Below are 20,937 nucleotides of genomic sequence, written 5' to 3' on the forward strand. Positions count from 1 at the left end.
GGAATCACATTATACACACTTTCTTTTGCACATAACCATATACCATGAGCACCTTTTTATTTTGGTGAAGAGTTATCTCATTTTTGAATGGCTATGTGCTATTCTATTGTGTGAGTGTGCCATAATATATTTAATTACTCCTCAACATTGGGAACATTGAGGTTGCTTTCATTTTATCATTATTACAAACAAAGAGTTTAGTGAACATTCTTCAACATGTATTTTGGTCTTGATATCTCCATAGGATATTTTTGTTCATCATTATTCATAACAGCAGAAGATTAGTAGCAATTTACCTGGTTAAATAAATTATGTTTAATTCCTTCCATAAGAAGAAATAATAAGAGGGAATGGTATTCAGCCACTAAACATGATGCTGCAGTAGAAATGTAACCGTATGGGGAAATGCTCATGATATACCATTAAAGGAAAAATAAAAGCAAATCTCAATATAACAGAAACCCTATTTTGTTCAACTTATATATGTGGGAAATAAGATCAGAAAGTACAAAGAAAAATGTATTTTGAGTGATAGAATTACAGGTTATCTTTAGGGTGGGTTTCTGAGTAATTTTATCTTTACTTTTTTGTGTTTTTCTATATTTACCAAACATTTTGCATTGAGGTTTTGCTGTATTCAGTTAGATATTATCTTTTAAATGCTTACAAACCATAAGCAGCCTCCAGCTAAGCCCACACATTGAAAGGAAACAAAAGTTCCAGAAAACTGAGGCAATCGACTGAGACTCTGGGTGGCTTCCGTGTCCTTCATCAGCCTGTACCACCACGGCTTAAGGTCTGTGTTGATGTGTTTTCCCTGGCAGGTATGTTCTTGATGACCAGTATGTCAGTTCAGTCGGAACAAAGTTTCCAGTCAAGTGGTCAGCTCCAGAGGTGTTTCATTACTTCAAATACAGCAGCAAGTCAGACGTATGGGCATTTGGTAAGGATGTGGCCACATACGACCTGGCCCTGTTTCATAAGCTTACTTCCACAACAGGAAACCACAAGAGTAGCAATGTCCATTTTAAAAGGGCCCTTGAACACTTACGAAGTTACACATATAGCCTGAGAGAAGCAAGCTGTTGAAGAAGGTGATTTATTTTCTTGGGTTTGGTATTAGGATGTCTTCTACACATCTTGTAATTTACATCCTGCTAGCACTTTCTCATAAAATCAAAAGGGATAAATCTACTCAGAGGTTGAGGTGGAAGGATTGTTTGAGCCCAGGAGTTCAAGTCCAGCTGGGGCAACACAGTTAAGACCCTGTCTTTAGAAACATCAAAGGGGATGAAAGTTTTTCCAGTGAAGATTTCAAATAATTTTTTAAAAGGAGTCATTGAAAGCTGAATCTGAGTTTTTGCTGAGCCCCAAACGTTGAAAAGACATCAATTTTCTGCATGAAAATAATGGGATAGCCATTCCCTTCTGCGCTGACCAATTCTTAGTGTAAACACCACACATGACTTGGTACTTTCTTTGACTCGTGCCTAGTTTCAAGTAGTCTCCTCTCTGTTAAAATTTATATTTTAGATTGGGATTGGCAAACCACAGCCCAGGACCAGGTCAGTTGGTTTTTGTAAATAAAGTTTTATTGGAACACAGTCATGCCCATTCATTTATGTATTATCTATGGCTCATTTTGTGCTACAACAGCAGAGTAGAGTAGTTGCCACAGATACTGCATGTCCCAAAAAGTCTAAAATGCTATGTGGCCCTTTATAGGATAAGTTTGCTGACTCTTATTTTACTAAAATATCTATATTAAAATTTAGTAAAGGTCATTAGAAAAGGGAAACAATTCTTAAATTGTGACTACATTTTATGATATTTTTTCTATGTTGTGAGAATATCAAGGCTATTTTCAATCACTGTCGGATGGACCCAGGATAAGTAATCCAAATGTGACTGAGACCTATTTCATGCCTTAGTTCATAAGTGTAATTTGATTTACTGCTTGTCACCTACAAGACTGCCTTTGAAAAGGGGAAAATTTAGTTATTTATTTCTCTATGTGACACAATTTTTAAAACTAACTATTCCCTTTGTAAAAGTGGCATTGTTCGTTGTTAAAAAAAAAGATAATCAAATACACACAGAAAAAGAAAAAAAATCACAAAGATAGCATTTTGGTGAATACTTGATGCCATGTTGTACTGATTAACTTTTGTACCTTGTTGTCAAAATTAGTTTTGAGGCTGAGTGCGGTGGCTCATGCCTGTAATCCCAGCACTTCGAGAGGCTGAGGCGGGCAGATCACTTGAGGCCAGGAGTTCAAGACCAGCCCAGCCAACATGGCAAAAACTCGTCTCTACTAAAAACACAAAAATTAGCCAGGCATGGTGGTGCGCGCCTGTAACCCCAGCTACTCGAGAGGCTGAGGCACGAGAATCGCTTAAACCTGGGAGGCAGAGTTTACAGTGAGCTGAGATTGTGCCACTGCACTCCAGCCTTGGCGACACAGCAAGAGGCTGTCTTAAAAAAAAAAAATTAGTTTTGATAATCATGCATCAATTATAAGTGATAGCAAAAAATCAATGCCCTAATTTAATAATTACAGCTTGTTTTTGACCAAAAAATAGTATTACCCAGCTTGATTATTTACCGTATGCCATAGAAGTTGGCCCCAGATATTTTCCAGCTGTTTATAAACACTAAATTCATTCTTAAACAATATATCCCAGTGAGGATACCCAAAATGAATCAGGGCCTCTGATAGCAATTCCCAAAGAAGAACCCCACAGATATTTTGAAATAAGTGTGTAGCCTTCCAAAGAGAAAGTTATGAGGAAACTGCATTCTTTTGGATTGTTGTTTTAGACTGTGTGATTTAAAAGAAAAAAGCAGCCATAAAATTTATAAGGTTGCTTTATTATAAATATTTGAAACTGGCTGACTGTTGAAATTTTCTGACCTTGGCCAGCACAGCACAACTGCCACCATTTAGAGAGCACTTGAAACATCTCAGTGCTCTTTTAAGTGCTTTACGTGTTTTATCCTATTTAATCCTCACAGCAAGTCCATGAGGTGCAAATACCCCATTTTATAGACGGAGAACCTGAGGCTGAGAGGGGTTGAGAAACTTATCCCACCTGTAAGTGACAGAAGTCAACTTCAAAGGCCATGTCTAACTGATCCCAAATGCCATCCTCCTGACCACCATGACCAGAACCGAGATTTCTTAACCTGGGGACTGCAATTTCCTGGATGAGTTTTGGGGGACTGTGAACATCCTGAAACTGAACACAAAAATGCTGTGTATTCACTTTCCCAAAGGCGGCCAGTGGCTTTCATCAGATTCCCAAAAGGGTGCCTGGCCCATATGAGATTAGGAACCACTGCAGCAATAGAAAGGAGAATGTTGTCAATGATTTTATCTTGAAATTTCCACTGAAGTGTAATCTGATTGTGCAATGAAATTGTTGCATGCAGCTGCCAAAGCCGAGAGACGGAATGGGTGAGGACATCAACCACTCATTCATAAGGGTTGGGGCAGGGGCTCACTACACAGGTAGTTGTCACTGTGAGGCTGACAACTCACACTTCACAGGACTAGCGCAAGAATTGTGTCTTGGCCCCAAGAGGTTCCTCTGTGGCTGCCCTTGCCATTCACCCACTTTCCAGCAAGCACAGATGTACAGGTATCAGGGAACATGGGGAAGAAACCCCAGGCTCCAGAAGCAATGGCACAGGCTCACCTTCCAAGCTCTGCTCATTTCGCTGGGACTCATTTCCCAGGGATCCCTCACTCTGACCCATAGCCTTCCTGACCTGTTGTGTGAAACTCACTCCACAAACCCTGTACTTTCTGATAACAGCTCTCTTCCTTTTTTATCTGGGCCACCTCTTGGTGTGGTGCAGGGATCCTGATGTGGGAGGTGTTCAGCCTGGGGAAGCAGCCCTATGACTTGTATGACAACTCCCAGGTGGTTCTGAAGGTCTCCCAGGGCCACAGGCTTTACCGGCCCCACCTGGCATCGGACACCATCTACCAGATCATGTACAGCTGCTGGCACGAGGCAAGTGTATTCTCTGGGTGGGCTGGAAGGGGTCTCAGGCACATCCGGGGTGATTACTGCATCACCACTGGGACAAAGCTTTTTTGAGGGAAAGCAACTGGTACAGAGCAGGAGAGAATGGTCCTCAGCCCCTGCCCTAAAATGTTTGTAATCTAAAACATGCGGGTGCCAAACAATTTACTGAACAACTTACATACAGCAGTGTTCTAAGAACACTATAAATATTAACTTACTTATGCATCAGGAAACACACTGAGGTAAGTACTATCATTGCTGAAACTAACAGAAGAGTAAACAAGGACTCAGAAAGGTTAAGTGACTTGTCCAAGGTCACATAGCTAGTAAGAAGTAGACTAGCTAGTGCCAGCGTCCCTGTTCTTAACTGCAACACTATGGAGCTCCTCGAGTAGAAAATAAGTAGCAGAAAACATCTAACCACACGTAGAGAACACATAATGGACACTATCCCATCTTCTCTCCCCCTGCCTCCCAAACACTGAATAAAAGCATTCCATGCAGGTAGAAGATAAGGGTATCTTATGGGGAAGACATGGAGCTGAAGCTTCAGGGGATTAATTTGCAAAGCATCCACTAAGTTCATAGAACTAATGGAGGTTGTTAAGGAAGTATGAGGCTCCATTTGTGCCCTCACTGAACTCAAAGTCTTTACACACACACACACACACACACACACACACACACACACACACACACAAATAGGACTGAAAACACCAAGCAGTTTATAATTATGTGCCCAAATTAGAAAGACAAGGTTTTTGCCATAACTTTCAATGGCAAAAAACGTGATTACTTTTGCACCAACCTAATACAAGAAGCGCTCAGAGGAAAGAGAAACCAGCTTCCTGAGAGAAAGCAGCTTCTTGAATGCATTGGTACCTGAGCTGAAGCAGGAAATCTCTACAAAATTTCCTAAGTATGTGAGTGGAGACATTGTAAAAGGGTGTCCAGGTGAGAACAGCACAAGCAAAGGTGTGGAGGCAGGAACGAGCATGGCACGCTAGGCTGGTGCTATCGTTGGAAGGGCTGGAGATAAGTTTGGAAGAGTAGGTCTGGTTCAGGTTCTGCAAAGTGAATAACAAGGAGACAAGTGAGAGTTTTGGTTTTTGTAGGCGATGAGGAGCCACTGAAGACTTTTGAGCAGTAACATGATAAAAGGAGGCTTTTGAGAACATTATTCTAAGAGCCCATGTTCATAATCATTATATGGTACTTCCTCAATGGCAAAGGGCCTAATGCTGCATTCATTTATTCACTAGTAAAAGGCAAATTGGTGTAATGGTTAAGCCTGTGGGTTCTGGCATCAGAATACCTGGGTTGAATCCTGTCGTGATCACTTACTAGTTATATGACCTTGTACAAACCTCCTATTATTATCTCTGTGCTTCACTGTAATGTAATGCTTACCTCATAGAATTTTTGGGTGGATTGAATGAATTAGCATTATAAAGGCCTTAGGACAATGCCTGGTACACAGTGCTGTTTTTCTGTTATTAATATTGTGTGTGTGTGTGTATATATATATATATTTTTTTTTTTTTACAAAGCATCTATGCACCAGGCAGTACGCTTGGTGCTAAGAATAAATTGACGCACACAACTTAAATAGTTTCTAAACTCTTGTACCGGAGCCTAGAGTCCCACTTTGGAAGAGTTGCTGATTGCATCACATAACAATATTTTTCGTTTAGCCTTAAATTATCACCTGGAATATGAGCACTCTGTAATTTCCCACCCTATGGCATTTGGAACAGTATATAAGGTTTCCACACCTTTTTCTACCCCAAATGTTGACTATGGGAACTATGGATATGGACAGAGATATGCAGACTACAGTGGCCAACAGAGCACTTATGGCAAGGCATCTCGAGGGGGTGGCAATCACCAAAACAATTACCAGCCATACTAAAGGAGAACATTGGAGAAAACAGGATGAGATGTTAAAGTAACCCATCTTGCAGGATGACATAGAAGATTGGTCTTCTGTTGATCTAAGATGATTATTTTGTAAAAGACTTTCTAGTGTACAAGACACAGTGTCCAACTGTATATGGCTGCCAATTAGTTTTCTTTGTTTTTACTTTGTCCTTTGCTATCTGTGTTATGACTCAATATGGATTTGTTTATACACATTTTATTTGTATGATTTCATGTTAAACTTCAAATAAATGCTTCCTTATGTGATTGCTTTTCTGTATCAGGTACTACATAGCTCTGTAAAAATTTAAAGTAAGCAATAATTAAGGCACAGTTGATTTTGTAGAGAGTATTGGTCCATAGGGAGAAACTGTGGTCCTTTATAAATAGCCAGCCAGGGTCACCCTCTTCCCCGATTTGTAGATGTATTCTATGCTCTTAAGGTTTCATCTTCTCCCTGTTAACTGAGGTTTCTACCACACTTTTGAATAATGTTCTTTCCCCTCTGGTTATCTGAAGATTGTCCTGAGAGGAAGACATAAGTGTTGTGATTAGTAGAAACTTTCTAGTAGACCATGTTTCTTCTGGATTGTAATAAAATTGTTAGTAGCTCCTTTTGCTTTGTTCCTGTCTCTAGAAAGCCATCTTTGAATCGTTAATTACTTTGGCTTTAATCAGTGGTCACCTAGAAAAAGCTTTGTAATCATAACACCATGACTTTAATTCTTGATAAAAATTCAGATGCACACAGGAAGGAGCACTGTAAAACTGGTAGGAGCTATGGTTTAAGAGCATTGAAAGTAGTTATAACTCAAGGATTTTGGCAGAAAGGTATGAGTTTGGTCAAAAGTTAGATTAAAATTTGAAATAGCGGCAAAATAAGATTTAGTTGTATTTTGTTTTCTCACAGCCACCACAAGACTGAACAAAATATTTTCTGTTTGGGCATTCTGAGGAAGCTGTATTACAGTTAACTGTTAATGCTGTGTGAGTTTAGAAAAAGTCTTGATAGTAAATCTAACTTTTAACACAGTTAGTGCATGAACTGAGTAGTTAAACATTTCCGTATTCAGACAGGAATAGTGGAAAAGGTATCTTAGGTGCGTTACTCAATCCAAATGTGACTGAATCATTACAGTGGACCCTCATGGTGCATTGAAAAGAAACTGTTTTATATCCAGGTTTCAGAGGACCTGGATAAATAAAAGCTTTGGATTTTGCATTCAGTGTAGTTAGTTGGATTTTGGGACCTTTGCCTCAATGTTAGCTACTGGGATTGGCATATGTGTTCACAGGCAGAGTAGTTGATCTCACACAACGAGTGCTCTCACAAAACTGGTGTAAGTTTCTTATGCTGATGAGCCCCCGCTTTTTTTTAATTTGGTGCCTACAACTTTGTTACAATGATTGTACTTGCTGGGCTATCAAGTTACAATGCTCTTGGTCTTTTTTGCTGCTGTTTCGCTATTTGTCCTTACACCTAGGCCAAGTACCAATGTTAGCTGTTGGAAGGGATTCTGTTTATTCATTCAACATGCAACTATCTAACTTTAGGGAATGGAAGGAAGTTCATTTTTAAGTTGTGTGTTGTCAGTAGGTGCAGTGTCTAGGGTAGCGAATCCTGTAAGTTCAAATTTATGATTAGGTGACAAATTGACATTGAGATTGTCCTTTTCCCTGATTAAAAAATGAATAAAGGCTTTTTAAAGAAACAAACAAACAAAAATATTGTGTCTAAGATTATCAGGCAGCACTAGAGGGTCAGACTGGGTCTGGGTAGAGTTGGTCACAGCCAGGCTGACTTACTGCTGTCACCTGTCAGATGAAGAAGAGCAGACAAGGGTTTTTCAGTTGAAGCCCAGAACCTCCCTGGCCCTCCCTACTCTAGCTCCTGGGAATATGACTGCACCATAGGATGGACAGGGGCCCTGAGTCGGGAGGAACTGCCTTCTTCTCATGGTTGGTTCATAAAAGCATGTGAATTGTGGCAGAATCTGTGAAGAGGGGTTTGCACTGAGACGACAATATCCAGTTAAAACATTGCACCTAATGAGCAGAGCTTATAGATTTGGGTTTTCCCTCCTTTTTTAGATTTTATTTTGTGACTTTCTCAATTCATAAAGAGATTGAAAGAACATTCACAATTTTCATTAGATTTTGATTCATCCTTCTGGTATTTCTGTATGCAAAAACAAGCATATGTATAGATGTGTGTTTTCTTGCTTCCCTTTCTCTCTTACAAAGAAAAAGTAGCATATGAACTTCTCCTCTCCATAGGCGTTGCCTCACTAGCAATGTAAGAGGGTACCTATTTTCTTATAACCTCACCAATGGAGTGCATTGTCAAGCTTTTGAAGAATTCTTGCCAATCTGATAAGTGAAAGCTTGATGGCATCTTAGTGCAGCTTTAATATATATATCTTTCATTATGAGGTTGAGCCTCTTTTCACGTTTTTAAGGGTCATTTTGTGTCTTTCTGAACTGTCATGTCTTTTTTCTTTTTTCTGTCAGGTTTTAAAGATCTCTTTACAAATTAGGGAGAGTAATACTTTAAGTTATCAGCTTTATTTGATTGAGGGTGGGTGGGTTTTTTTTTCTTTTTTTGACCATGCAGAAATTTTTCTTAATATAGCTGAATATATCAATATTTGTTTTCATTGCTTCTGGAAATTGTCATAGATAGGCTTTCTCATGCCCAAATTATAATGACTTTTGCCAGGATTTTCCTCTAGTACTTTTAAGATTGCATTATTTTCCATTTATGTTTCTGATATAGTTTGTGTTTGTTATGGTATATGGTATTAAATATGGCTCCAAATATATAATTTTATGTGACTATTCTGTTGTTGGCAGCCCTATTTATTAAAAGACCATCTTATCATCAGGAATGAGATACCACCTTAATGGTGGTGAAATGCCACCCTAATATTATACTAAATTTCCATATGTACTTGAATCTATTTGGAGACTTCCTCTTCTGTTCTTTGGTCTCTTTGTTCATGTGCTAGCACCACACTGCTCTGATTCTGTAGAGACTTTATGATATGTTTGAATACTAGGTAGGCTAGCACCCCTCATTGCTCACCTTACTGTATAATTTCTTAGCCATTTTTACATATTTTTTAATTCTATAAACCAAAGAATCAATTTGTTTAGCTTGAAACAAACTCATTCATATTTTTGAGGAGATTGTATTTAGTTTGTATTTTAAGTTGGGAAATTTGACATCTTTATGATACTGACTTGTCCTAGTCTAGAACGAGGGAAGCTTTTTTTTTTTTTTTTTTTTTTTTTAAGACAGAGTCTTGCTCTATCACTCAGGCTGGAATGCAGTGGTATGATCTAGGCCTACTGCAACCTCCACCTTCCAGGCTTAAGTGATTTTCATGTCCCACCCTCCCGAGTAGCTTGGACTACAGTTGTGCACAACCACAGCTGGCTAATTTTTGTATTTTTAGTAGAGACAGGGTTTCGCCATGTTGTTCAGGATGGTCTCGAACTCCTGGCCTCAAGTGATCCACTCACCTCAGCCTCCCAGAGTGCTGGGATTACAGGCGTGAGCCACTGCGCCTGGCCAGGGATGCTTTTTTATATAGTCAAGTCTACATTTGCATTTTTCAGCAGTGTTTTAAAGTCGTCCCCATTTTAGAGGGGCACACTTTTTTAGTGTTTTATTTTGGTGGCGTTGCTATTATAAATGGGGTTTTCTCTTACATGATAACTTCTAAGTGGTTACTGTAGGTATATGTGAAGGCTATTGATTTTGTATGTTAATTTTATATCCTGCTCTCCTAGTGAATTCCTTTATTCTTTAAGTCTGTTCTAACATTGATACTCTCAGATTTTCCAGGTATACACTAAAATGCTTGCAAATAAAGAGACTTTTTCTTTTCCAGTTATTGGGGCTCTAATTGTTCTTGCTTTCCAATTGCATTGGTTAACACCTTCAACATAATGTTAAGAGTGATTATTATAGTGAGCGTCCTTGCCTTATTTCTGACCTCAATTGAAATGTCTGTTGTGTTTCCACATTTTAAAAGTTGCTAGCTTTAGGACTTAGATGTAAATATTTTATATATTTTATCATTGATCATAACTCTCATCATCTAAAACATTGGGTTTCTTGTTGTTTTTGTTTAGCTTCCAGAAAAGCGTCCCACATTTCAGCAACTCCTGTCTTCCATTGAACCACTTCGGGAAAAAGACAAGCATTGAAGAAGAAATTAGGAGTGCTGATAAGAATGAATATAGATGCTGGCCAGCATTTTCATTCATTTTAAGGAAAGTAGCAAGGCATAATGTAATTTAGCTAGTTTTTAATAGTGTTCTCTGTATTGTCTATTATTTAGAAATGAACAAGGCAGGAAACAAAAGATTCCCTTGAAATTTAGATCAAATTAGTAATTTTGTTTATGCTGCTCCTGATATAACACTTTCCAGCCTATAGCAGAAGCACATTTTCAGACTGCAATATAGAGACTGTGTTCATGTGTAAAGACTGAGCAGAACTGAAAAATTACTTATTGGATATTCATTCTTTTCTTTATATTGTCATTGTCACAACAATTAAATATACTACCAAGTACAGAAATGTGGACATTTGTCTTAATATTTCAATGTTTTCAAACTTCAGTAGGCATGATAATCAAATGCAGAGTTTATGAAAAGATTCCTAGAAACTACCTCCATAAAACCTGGCGGAGGAGGTCTGAGTGCAGCCTGTGAATTTGTATTTTTAGCAAACTCCCAGATGTTACTGAAGCAGTTGTTCTGAACTGCCCTAGGGGACCTCATTATATGGTGGGGTATCATTAGGTGGTCCATTACCCAATCCAAATGGCACAATTCTCGTCTAATATCCAGATTAGTACAATGACTCTTTATGTCATGTATAAAACTAAAGTTAAATAATATTAAATAATACATTAAATATGTTCACATAAAGCAAATTTTTTAAGATGCTGAGGTACAATTTCTAGAATTAATTACATTGTTGCTTTCTAATCATCTTTTTTTTTTATATAAGTAGACAGTTTATTTGGGTCAAGTTTAAGGATTATAACCTGGGAGCAAAGACTCAAGTTGCCTGGAATCTACACTTTGATTAGCAGCAGTTGCAAGAGGAGTTGTAAAGACAAAAACAAAGGGACAGAGAGTGGGCTGATACAGAGTTGTTTGTCAGAAATTTTTATTTATTTAAAGAAATAACATTGGTTATTGATTAGATATATATCATTATGGTTTAGGGTATGAGATATAGTGTCCAATGTGGTATTATTAGTTTAATATATATCTACTTGTGGCAATAGTGAACAGTTTCAAGAGATGAATACATAATTTAAAGGGGGAGAACGACATAACTGCACGTTCATTTCAATGTCTGAGTTTGATAACCAAAAGTACTTTCATTTTTTAGATAAAAATTTTCTATTTCCCAAATCTCAAGACCTGGATACAAAATGTAGAGCTGCAGATTTAAGGCCTGAATGGCTGGAGTAGCAGGTGTTACCTGAACATTTGTGAACATTTTACCAAGAGAAAAAAGGGGAAAGTGGAGATTCTCATGTCTACATGTGTACTCAATGAACACATGTTACTCTGATTAGGTTTGTGGGCCCCATGGTCTCCGAATCAGTTTCAGGTCTGAAGATAACAAGAGTCATTGAGGGAAATAAAACGATTGATTGTTGCCCAGTGAAGTTGGTAGAAATTAGGATGAACTATGTATGACATGGTGCTGTAAATTCTTCTACTTGTGGACTAATTTTGGTGACCATCTGTCTAATCATCTTAAATCCTTGAGTTTGGGGATCTGGGGCTTCTGGCTAGTTTGATAACTGAAGTTTCTATTTCAGTCTGCTATCTTAACACAAAAATACAGAAGTACTATTTTAGCTTCTCATGCCTATTACTAAATAGTATTTCACCTTTAAAACAGTACCTGCGGATGCCCTTCTTCACGGCCTGCTACCGAACCCACAGGTTTTAACCTCTTTCTGAGTATTCCATTGTCTTTTCTATAATGTCAAGAAGGGAGAGACAGATTCTGTAGAGGGCACCATTACAATGAAGAGACACCCCAATTAAACCCTGCTGCTATTTTCCAGAGATCAGTCAATAATCTCTCAGAGACACTTATATCCTCTCTCATCCCACTCTGTCCTTCAGCCACCAGCTAGTTTCAATGCTCCCTCTTGCTTATTTGTTTCTTGACATTTCATTAATAATTCCTTCATTTCAACACAGAATTGACACTCGTTAACAGTCTTCTATTTTTTACAGAGGTACACAAATCTCAATTTATAATTAAATGTAACTCAAAATAATCACTAGGGCATTTGTATATTTTATTTTTGTGGGTTTTTTTTGTAGTGTTGACTGTATGCTAGGTTCTTTCCTACCCAAGAGAAAAGAAAGAACAGGTGACCCAAACCCTCTTTCTCAATGGACCCACAGTCCGATGGGGGTGCCAGCCTTTCCTGCACCAAAGACTGTTTCCCCACTCAGAGGATGAGCTCATGCACAAGCTGGGTCTTTCTGGTCTCCCTCTCGAAGATTTTTTTCCTTTCTTCTTCTTATTTTTGTATATTTACCTTTTAAAAATAATCCTCTTTATAACAAAATACACGCTTGTTGCAAAAATTGTTTACTATGAAAAGAGGCCAAAGCCCTGCTTAGAAGCCTAGCTGCAAAAATCAAGTCAGGCAGCAATTTAAGGTACCACTAGAGGTTTATCAGAAAACAAGTCCAGTGATGCTAGGAGGAGCCAAGTAAAAGAACACTATTCATAGTATTTCAAACGTGCACAATGATTTTTTAATGCTGTATAACTGTGTTTAGTGGTGATATGCAGAATTTATTGTTGTTATCTTAAACCAAGTGTCTGCCTACACTCTTTTGGCAGTGAAGAAAAAGGAAGACTATGTGGTAAGAAACTTTCCCAAAGGGCAGGCTGCAGAGCAAGTTCAGATAAATCACTTGCTAGGTAAAATCCAACAGATGCTCCCTCGTCTTGCTGAGCATTTTCTGACCTACCAGAAGTCAAACACAAAGTCAAGAGGGTCTGGCAAAACTCACCTCATATCTACTTGAGTTTATTAAGATTCCAACACAGTAGATTTAGCAAGTTGAGTTTCTCAGTTTTTATTCTATCTTGAGAGTGGGTTTATGAGGAGGAGAGATTGGACCTAAGGCCCCATCTTTACCTAAATGTGGAGGGAGGAGGCTCTCAAATTAGGAAGAATAGTTCATTGAGAGACACCAGAGAAGAGGAAGCTAGCACCTGCCATTTCTGGCCTGATCACTATGTTTCTCTGGTCTGTGAGCTCCACAATGGACCTTTTGCATTTGCAGTTTCATTTAATCCTTGCTTCCGTATAGCCCAGGGTTTGGCAAAGTTTGTCTGTAAATGGCTTTGTGGGCCATGCCGTCTCTACTTCAACTACTCAGCTCTGCTCTGTAGCATGAAAGCAGCCCTAGACAATATGAAAATGAATGGGTGTGGCTGGGTTCCAATAAAACTTTATTATGGACACTGAAATTTGAATTTCATATCATTTTCATTTATCATGAAATCTTATTCTAATTTTTTTCAACCACTTAAAAATGTAAAAATCACTCTTAGTTCACAGGCCAGACAAAAACAGGTGGTGGGGTGGCCGGGCACAATGACTCAGGCCTGTAATCCCAGCACTTTGGGAGGCCGAGTCAGGCAGATCACCTGAGGTCAGGAGTTTGAGACCAGCCTGGCCAAATGGTGAAACTGCATCTCTACTAAAAAATACAAAAAATTAGCTGGGTGTGGTGGCTCACACTTGTAGTCCCAGCTACTCGGGAGGCTGAGGCAGGATAATCACTTGAACCCAGGGTGCAGAGGTTGCAGTGAGCCAAGATCGCGCCACTGCACTCCAGCCTGGGCGACCGAGCAAGACTCCGTCTCAAAACAGAACAGAATAAAACAAAACAAAACAAAACAAAAAAATGTGGTGGGCAGGATTTGGCCCATGGGCCATTGTTTGCCAGCTTCCATCCTAGGCCCAGGCACCGGTCCCTCTTTGTAGAGTCTCCATCCTTTCAGAGGATGCTGCTACACAGGAGAAGGACCACAAGCGTTACCTGGTGGGCACAGTGAGGACTGTTCTGGAGAAAACCCCAAAATTAAGTTACGGAAATAAGCAGGTTTTTCTTTCTGTGTTACAGTTGGACACTATGTCACATGCACATGGGTCCTTTGCCATGTCTGGGGAGGCTCTTTTGAAGGTGTTAGATGATGAAATTGGTTCCTGCAGAAATTATTCTTGCACTGTGCTGAACCAAGTTTATGAACTTCATAAAGATCTTGTGGCAACTACAAAGGATGTTTAGATAGCAGTAGCTTGACAGAAGATTTTCATGATATATTAGAGAAGATGGGACATATGCAAGATAAAAGAAAAAACTGTCTATGAAATGGTTGCTTAGCCAAGGAGTAAATTATATTGTATGTTGCCCCAAGCTGTGGGCCCAGTGAATGGCAGGATGGTGCAGATGGTGATGCGAAATGTTGATTGTATCTCGTAAAATAACAAAGAACTCTATCTCTGCTACCTGGGTATCAGATAATTAAGACATCAAAGAGCCTCAAATGACCCTTATTTTGAGGTTATTTTACAGATTATGAAAGTCATCTTCCCTTCACTTGGCTAACTGATCCACAATTACCATAGAGAATTTATGAAGTACAAAGTCATTGTAACATTATGCTGGTCACCACATAGAATGAGTTAATGCATAGAGTTTAGATATGTTAATCTATTTAATCTAGTTTTAACCAGTCTTCAGGTATCTAAGAAATGCTGTGCTCACACTGGGGTAGTGACTGTGAGAAATATAAAAGCAGCATCAGGTTTGGTTCCTAACCTGATGGTGTATACACTCTGTACACAACTTTTTTGGGACTAGTTTTACAATTACTTTGTACAATAAAGCAATCTGAGAATTTGCAATACATCACGAGACATTTGGAAGGCCAGGAGCCCCAGACACTCAGATGATAACTTTGTTCATAGAACTGAAAAGCAGACAAAACGTAAAGAAGCCCCAGCACATAAGTAAGCACAAGGAGTGTGTAAATCTAGCATTTATTGAGTGTCTGCTTTGTGCTCAGCACTGCTCAAACACTGTGAGCAAATACAAAAGATTTAAGAGACTGGGTACCCACTTCAGAGGGTGAACATACAGTTGGAATTTCCATTCACTCCACAGTTAGAGAACAGTAGAAATGAGTTTCTATCAGGCATGCTCTGGGAGTTCACGGAGGCCCCTGGCTCTAGTTTTGTGTTGTCAGGGAGATGTTGATCAAGCACCTTGGAAGTGAAAAAGCAATGTCCTCTACCTGTTCCCTGGATTCTTCTCTCTTTAGACCTGTCACCTTGAAGAAAGCATGATCGATTCCAAACATCACTGTAGGCAAATCACCATAGTACTTGAACTGAGTTACTGTGAAGAAAGCATGTCATCCTTGACAATGGATTAAATGAAAGTGAGCTAATGCATGCCATTCTCAATCCTTGCAGCTACACCAGTTCCCAGGCACTGTCCTTACAAGTGATCCATCCATATTCCATACAAGATCCAACACTTGCTCCAATGATATATCCTTGTTTTCAACTTCAGAAATTCAACAGACATTTACATTTAGATTATCCCTGAACAGCCTGTGAGACCAAATACACACTTTCCCTAATATACTCTAATACAAAATCCTTATTAAGAAACAGAACAGAAGTCAAATCCAGAGACAGAAATAAATACTGAAAGCAATGTCAATGAAGATGCTCTCTCCTTGGCCATGTTGTCTTTGGACAATTTTTTTTCTGAACAGAGTCATAGTTTTGACATTTAATGATATCTTTATCATCTTATATTTTCTATACCATGAAATTAACATTTACATACAACAAAATCACCTCAAGAGGAAAAACATAGATTTTTCTAAAAGGAGGTCTGAACATCATCAGTGTTTTGGAATCCTGGATTATTTTCTCCTTTGCTAATATCGATGGAGGCATAAGGATTTTCTCCACTTCTTGCTTTATTTTTCCTGTTAAATAGAGCAAGGTTGCCTTAATATACTTATGTTAAAATCAATCGGACTGATGAAAATCAAAAAGTTTCAGGGGAATCTGTGTTAAGGAGGCTGGGAGGGAGGAACAGGAAGTTTCATAAACTGTTGATGTGAGTATAAATTGGTACAGCCGCTATTGAGGGCAATTTGGCAATATTTATCAAAATTAGCAATTGCACGTATGCTTTCACCCAGCTTTCCCACTGCTAGGATTCATCTTAAGGGTATATTGGCATACTCAGGAAATTACCTATATTAAGCCATCACTTTTTTTAAGTAAACACAAATGTTTGGAAACAACATAAAAGTTCATCAATAGATGACTGTTTATCAAAATTACAATCCATTCGTGAAATGGGAAATTATACTGCCAGAAAAAAGGAGAAGTTTTTTGTGCAACTAATGTGTAATGATCTCTAAAACACATTAAGTGGGCTGGGTGTGGTGGATCACACCTATATAAATAAAAATTTAAAAAAACCATTAAGTGGAAAACAAAATATGCAGAACATTGTTTATAGCCTGCTAACATTTGTATACTAAGAAATGAGATATACATATGCACATACACACAAATATACACACTAAAAAAGTATATATTTGTATACTAAAAAGGAGATATATATATATATATATATATATATATATGTCTGAGAAAAAAGAAAAAAGACTGTGTGTGTGTGTGTGTGTGTGTGTGTGTGTGTGTGTGTGTATCTCCAAGGAACTGATAATTTTGTTTGGCTTTGGGAAGATAACTTGGAGGCAAAAGGTAATAAGGAAGACTCTTCATGTTCACCTTTGTATTTTTTAATTTTAACCATATGAATGTATTACACATTGAATGCCTAATATTTTAGATGGAGCTATTTTGGAGAAACGAAAAATCTCTATAGTGAAGAAAATTGAGCAAAATAGACTAGCAAATATAGAGATTCAATCAAGAATATGTTTAAACAAGCTGAGGTGTGCATAGAGTTTTGTTAGGTGCTATAAAATATTAACCTTCATTCCATAAGCCCAGCAAGAGTCAATTTCTTAAGGACAGAAGAAAAACATCTAGTAGCAAAGCAAGACTAGAAATCAGGTCTCTGGTAATTTAAATCCTCAATGAACTTTGATCTTCAGTTCAGGAACAAATTAGAACGTGCCTAACCATGAACTAAGAGAATGACATAGAGTCTGAGCTACCCGGTGAGAAATAAAGCTGAGTAAAGAGTAGCAGTTTGGGCAGGGCACGGTGGCTCACGCCTGTAATCCCAGCACTGGAGGGCGAGGCAGGCGGATTGCTTGAACTCAGGAGTTCAAGAAAAGCTTGGGCAACATGACAAAACCCTGTCTCCACAAAAAATACAAAAATTAGCTGGGTGTGGTGGCACACCCCTGTAGTCCCAGCTACTCAGGAAGCTGAGGTGGGACGATCACTTGAGCCTGGGAAATCGAGGTTGCAGTGAACTATGGTTGCACCACTGCACTCCAGCCTGGGTGACAGAGCAAGACTCTGTCTCAAACAAACAAACAAACAAACAAACAAAAAACCAAGAGTAGCAGTTTCAAAGAAATCTCACAGCCCATTCTTGAACAATTTCACGGTTCAAACCCATCAGCAATCCAGTCTCCAGCAATCCAGTCCCCACTTTTAGACTGAAAAGGATTCAGCAGTGAGAGCAGTGAAAACCATTCCCTGAGCCCACCCATACCTGCTGAGTTTGCAGTGCCTCTTTGTAGGAGGGAAATGACACTGTGGCTGGGATGGAGTTTACTAGGGCATGCTAATAAATCCCAGGCCAGATACTTACTGTGTGGGCTTACTAGGAAGATGAACTGCTGATCTATTAAATTTCTAGGGAATGCATCAGAGTATTTAGTTGCAAAATTGTCCAACTAAGTAATTGGTCTATACAATCTACCACTTACTGAAAATTTTCCAGTTACTGTTCTCTAAATCTTTCTATTTTTGGATAGTTAAGTCTAGGAAAGGCCACTTACTTCTTCCGATCTCTGATCCCAGTGAAGATCAGGATGACAATGCCAACCACTATCACTCCCATCACAACTCCAAAAACAATCAGCCATATGGAAACAGGGGGCTGGTTAGGAGGTCCAAGTGTTGGCTGTATCCCCAGAAACTCTAGGCTGTTGTCATTCAGACGGAAAGCATCATTGATACGGCTCCGGGACATCCTATTTGCAAAAGCAAAAAACAGCAAAGGGGACACTTAGACAAAATAAAATTGTGTGTAGTTATTTACTGTTTATATCATTGTTCCTGAAAGGATATAATAGAGCTTATCATAAGAATATACACCTAGCCAGGCATGGTGGCGCATGTCTGTAGTCCCAGCTACTTGGGAGGCTGAGGCAGGAGAATCGCTTGAACCCGGGAGGCAGAGGTTGCAGTGAGCCGAGATTGTGCCACTGCCCTCTAGCCTAGGTGACAGAGCAAGACTCTGTTTCAAAAAAAAAAAAAAGGAATATACACCTAAAATCATAAGAGCAAAGTAAATAGGTCTAATTAAAGATATAAGTCTTTGACAATTATGCATCTTTCATGCCTTGCAACCTAGATTAGGTTCATCAACAGCTCCATTGGAAAATTGAGTTGTAAGTGTGGAAATGTATAAATGGTTGGCATTTATTCATTTGTGACTGCTGTGTTTAAGGGCAAAGTTATCATATTTGGCAAGAATTTCCCTTCTGTCAGAGTACATCTACAATGACTTTATATCAAATAATGGAAACGGATAATTGGATACACCTCTTCTATTATACAAATGAATCAGGTCCTATGACCAAGTCTCTATAGTAGTATTTTCCAAATAAAAGGTATTGGCATTTGGAGGTAGCACTGGGGAGGCACATAAGAAAGGGACCTTTGCCAGTTTCTTCAGCACTGGGATGGGAAATGGCTTACTTTTATGGAGGCAAAAGGATAAAGATTGTTTAAAGAAAAAAAAAAACAATGATATGGAGAACATTCTGGATCAAAGACCAAAGTGTCTGGCATCTCATCTTCCTACCCTTGGGTATAGCCCAGGTCAGGAGGTCAGAGTCCACCAGAGAGAGAGAGAGAGATCAACGCAGAATTAGTCAGGTAACCCCTGGCAACCTCAGCCAGAAAAGATCTGAAAAGAGTCATCCTGGAAACAGAGAGTCTGAGGTCCCCTGTAGCTTGCAGCTGAGTATCCAGGAAGGCTGAGCTTTTTCATAAAGATCTCAGCCAGAAGTTTTTCCCAAGACAGACACAAGTCTTCTGGAGGAAGTGAGTGAGTCTCTGGGCACAGTTGGGTCATACACTCCAACCAAGCCAGATTTTCTAGGCACACCCTGCCCAGCAGGTCTTAGATCTGCTTCCGAAGTTAAACAGGACTCTGACGCAGCTCGAGAGGGCCACCTAGTGAGCTGCCCAGAAGCAGTAGGTATATTAAGCCTTTTTATAATGACAGGAAACCATCTGCAAGGTCAATCCATTCTTCGCTCCTGCTGTCTGTTGTGGGAAACAATTGAGGCAAATTGGACAAACTGTTTCTTCTAAACATTCATTGCAAGTCCCTCACCTAGCATAGAGGCCAAGCAATATGTAAGGAATCCTGTACTTGCCTACCTTGTTTCAGGATTTGGGCAGTTAAATGAATCCTACATCAAAGTCCTGAGAGCAAATGATGGCAATACCTGTCCACGTCCCTTCTGCACTTACTATTTTCCATGAGTTCTAGCCAGACTTTCTTCAACCAGCACCTGCTCCCCTTTACCAGAGAGCATTCTCAGACCACAAGATCTGCCCTGCCTGCAGGGCTGAAATGCTGGGGAATTAATGCCACCTGGAAGCAGTTCTCAGCCAATAACTGATGGGAGGTGGTAAATAAATACCCCAGCTTCCTCAGCCCTCTGATGGGACAATTCAGGTGCACATTCTACACAGTCTCTCCACATTTCCCAGCAGGACTGAGCTCTAGTTGCCCATAGTGGTAACTTGCTTGATAACATGTAATCTATAGTTTTTCTTCCCTTTTGTAAGAGCCTACATCTGGCGGAACTCAAATCAAGATTATTCCCCTGCTGTGGGATCCTTCTGGAATTACGTGGAGTTTGTAGCATGAGGTAACACATGTAAATGACTCAGAATAATGCTTGGCACACAGGAAGAACACACAAAATACTGGTTATTGTTGTTGTATTTGGTAACCCCCTCACCCTTAGATGAAAGTAAAATGTCACCTGATGGCCTTTTCAACTTCAGTTCTAGGAATGATATCAGACACATTTTTAGGTGCAGTGACAAAGAAATTAAAGGAGATTCTTGGTTTCAAATTAGCCACTCGCACATCCTCCTCCCTGTAGAGAAACAAAACAAACATCTTCACTTGTGGCACAGAGGACACAATCAAGAGAATGAAGACTTCCCCTGCTGGTGAAAAGGAGATTAGAGAGAGAATCACAGGATAGAGAGACATGGGGGAGGGCAAACAATGAGAGGATGTAATTGTCAAAAAAAACATTAATGCTGCCCAAAGCACATGAAATCAACTACATAAAAATTGTGATATCAAGTTTTGGCACTATTTGTTCTGCCTTTATATAAAACCCACATCTTTTTCAATTATAGAAAATTTCCAAACTGAAAACAGCAGGAGAATCAACAAGGAATAATCGGTGGCCCAGGATTGTGGCAAACAATGTGGTGGGCAGAAATGGCTGAGTACCACACACGGATTTACACCCACAACCTGGTCCTACCCAGCAGAAAACGTCGTGTTGCACCCATGGATGAAGGTAATGAGTGGGGTCTACCATATGATGTGACAGGACTGTGCTCTCACAGCTGTCAAGCGATCCTAGCACAAAATAAGGTAGATCATGTGGCTCATAGCCCTTGAGTGA

The 20,937-nt window shown here is 39.3% G+C and overlaps 2 protein-coding genes and 1 pseudogene across 10 annotated transcripts in view; 2 read left to right on the forward strand and 1 right to left on the reverse strand.

Annotated features, from left to right (window-relative positions):
- BMX (BMX non-receptor tyrosine kinase) overlaps positions 1–10,541 on the forward strand; it is a 55,713-nt gene extending 45,172 nt beyond the window's left edge. For 3 of the 4 annotated variants that reach the window (NM_203281.3, NM_001320866.2, NM_001721.7), the window contains exons 17-19: positions 825–943; positions 3,862–4,019; positions 10,095–10,541. In NM_203281.3, coding sequence (NP_975010.1) covers positions 825–943; positions 3,862–4,019; positions 10,095–10,169 — 352 coding nt within the window. In that variant the 3' untranslated portion in view covers positions 10,170–10,541. Of the gene's footprint in view, positions 1–824; positions 944–3,861; positions 4,020–10,094 lie in introns of those variants that run through there. The other variant, XM_017029752.3, reaches the window with a different exon arrangement.
- ACE2 (angiotensin converting enzyme 2) overlaps positions 1–20,937 on the reverse strand; it is an 89,015-nt gene that overhangs the window by 27,782 nt on the left and 40,296 nt on the right. For 5 of the 6 annotated variants that reach the window (NM_001389402.1, NM_021804.3, NM_001386260.1 and 2 more), the window contains 3 exons: positions 20,275–20,391; positions 18,046–18,240; positions 15,055–16,035 (listed from right to left, as the gene is read on the reverse strand). In NM_001389402.1, coding sequence (NP_001376331.1) covers positions 15,927–16,035; positions 18,046–18,240; positions 20,275–20,391 — 421 coding nt within the window. In that variant the 3' untranslated portion in view covers positions 15,055–15,926. Of the gene's footprint in view, positions 1–15,054; positions 16,036–18,045; positions 18,241–20,274; positions 20,392–20,937 lie in introns of those variants that run through there. The other variant, NM_001386259.1, reaches the window with a different exon arrangement.
- HNRNPDLP5 (HNRNPDL pseudogene 5) lies at positions 5,830–5,943 on the forward strand (annotated as a pseudogene).

The sequence above is a fragment of the Homo sapiens genome, chromosome X (assembly GCF_000001405.40).
Source record: "Homo sapiens chromosome X, GRCh38.p14 Primary Assembly".
Taxonomy (NCBI): domain Eukaryota; kingdom Metazoa; phylum Chordata; class Mammalia; order Primates; family Hominidae; genus Homo; species Homo sapiens.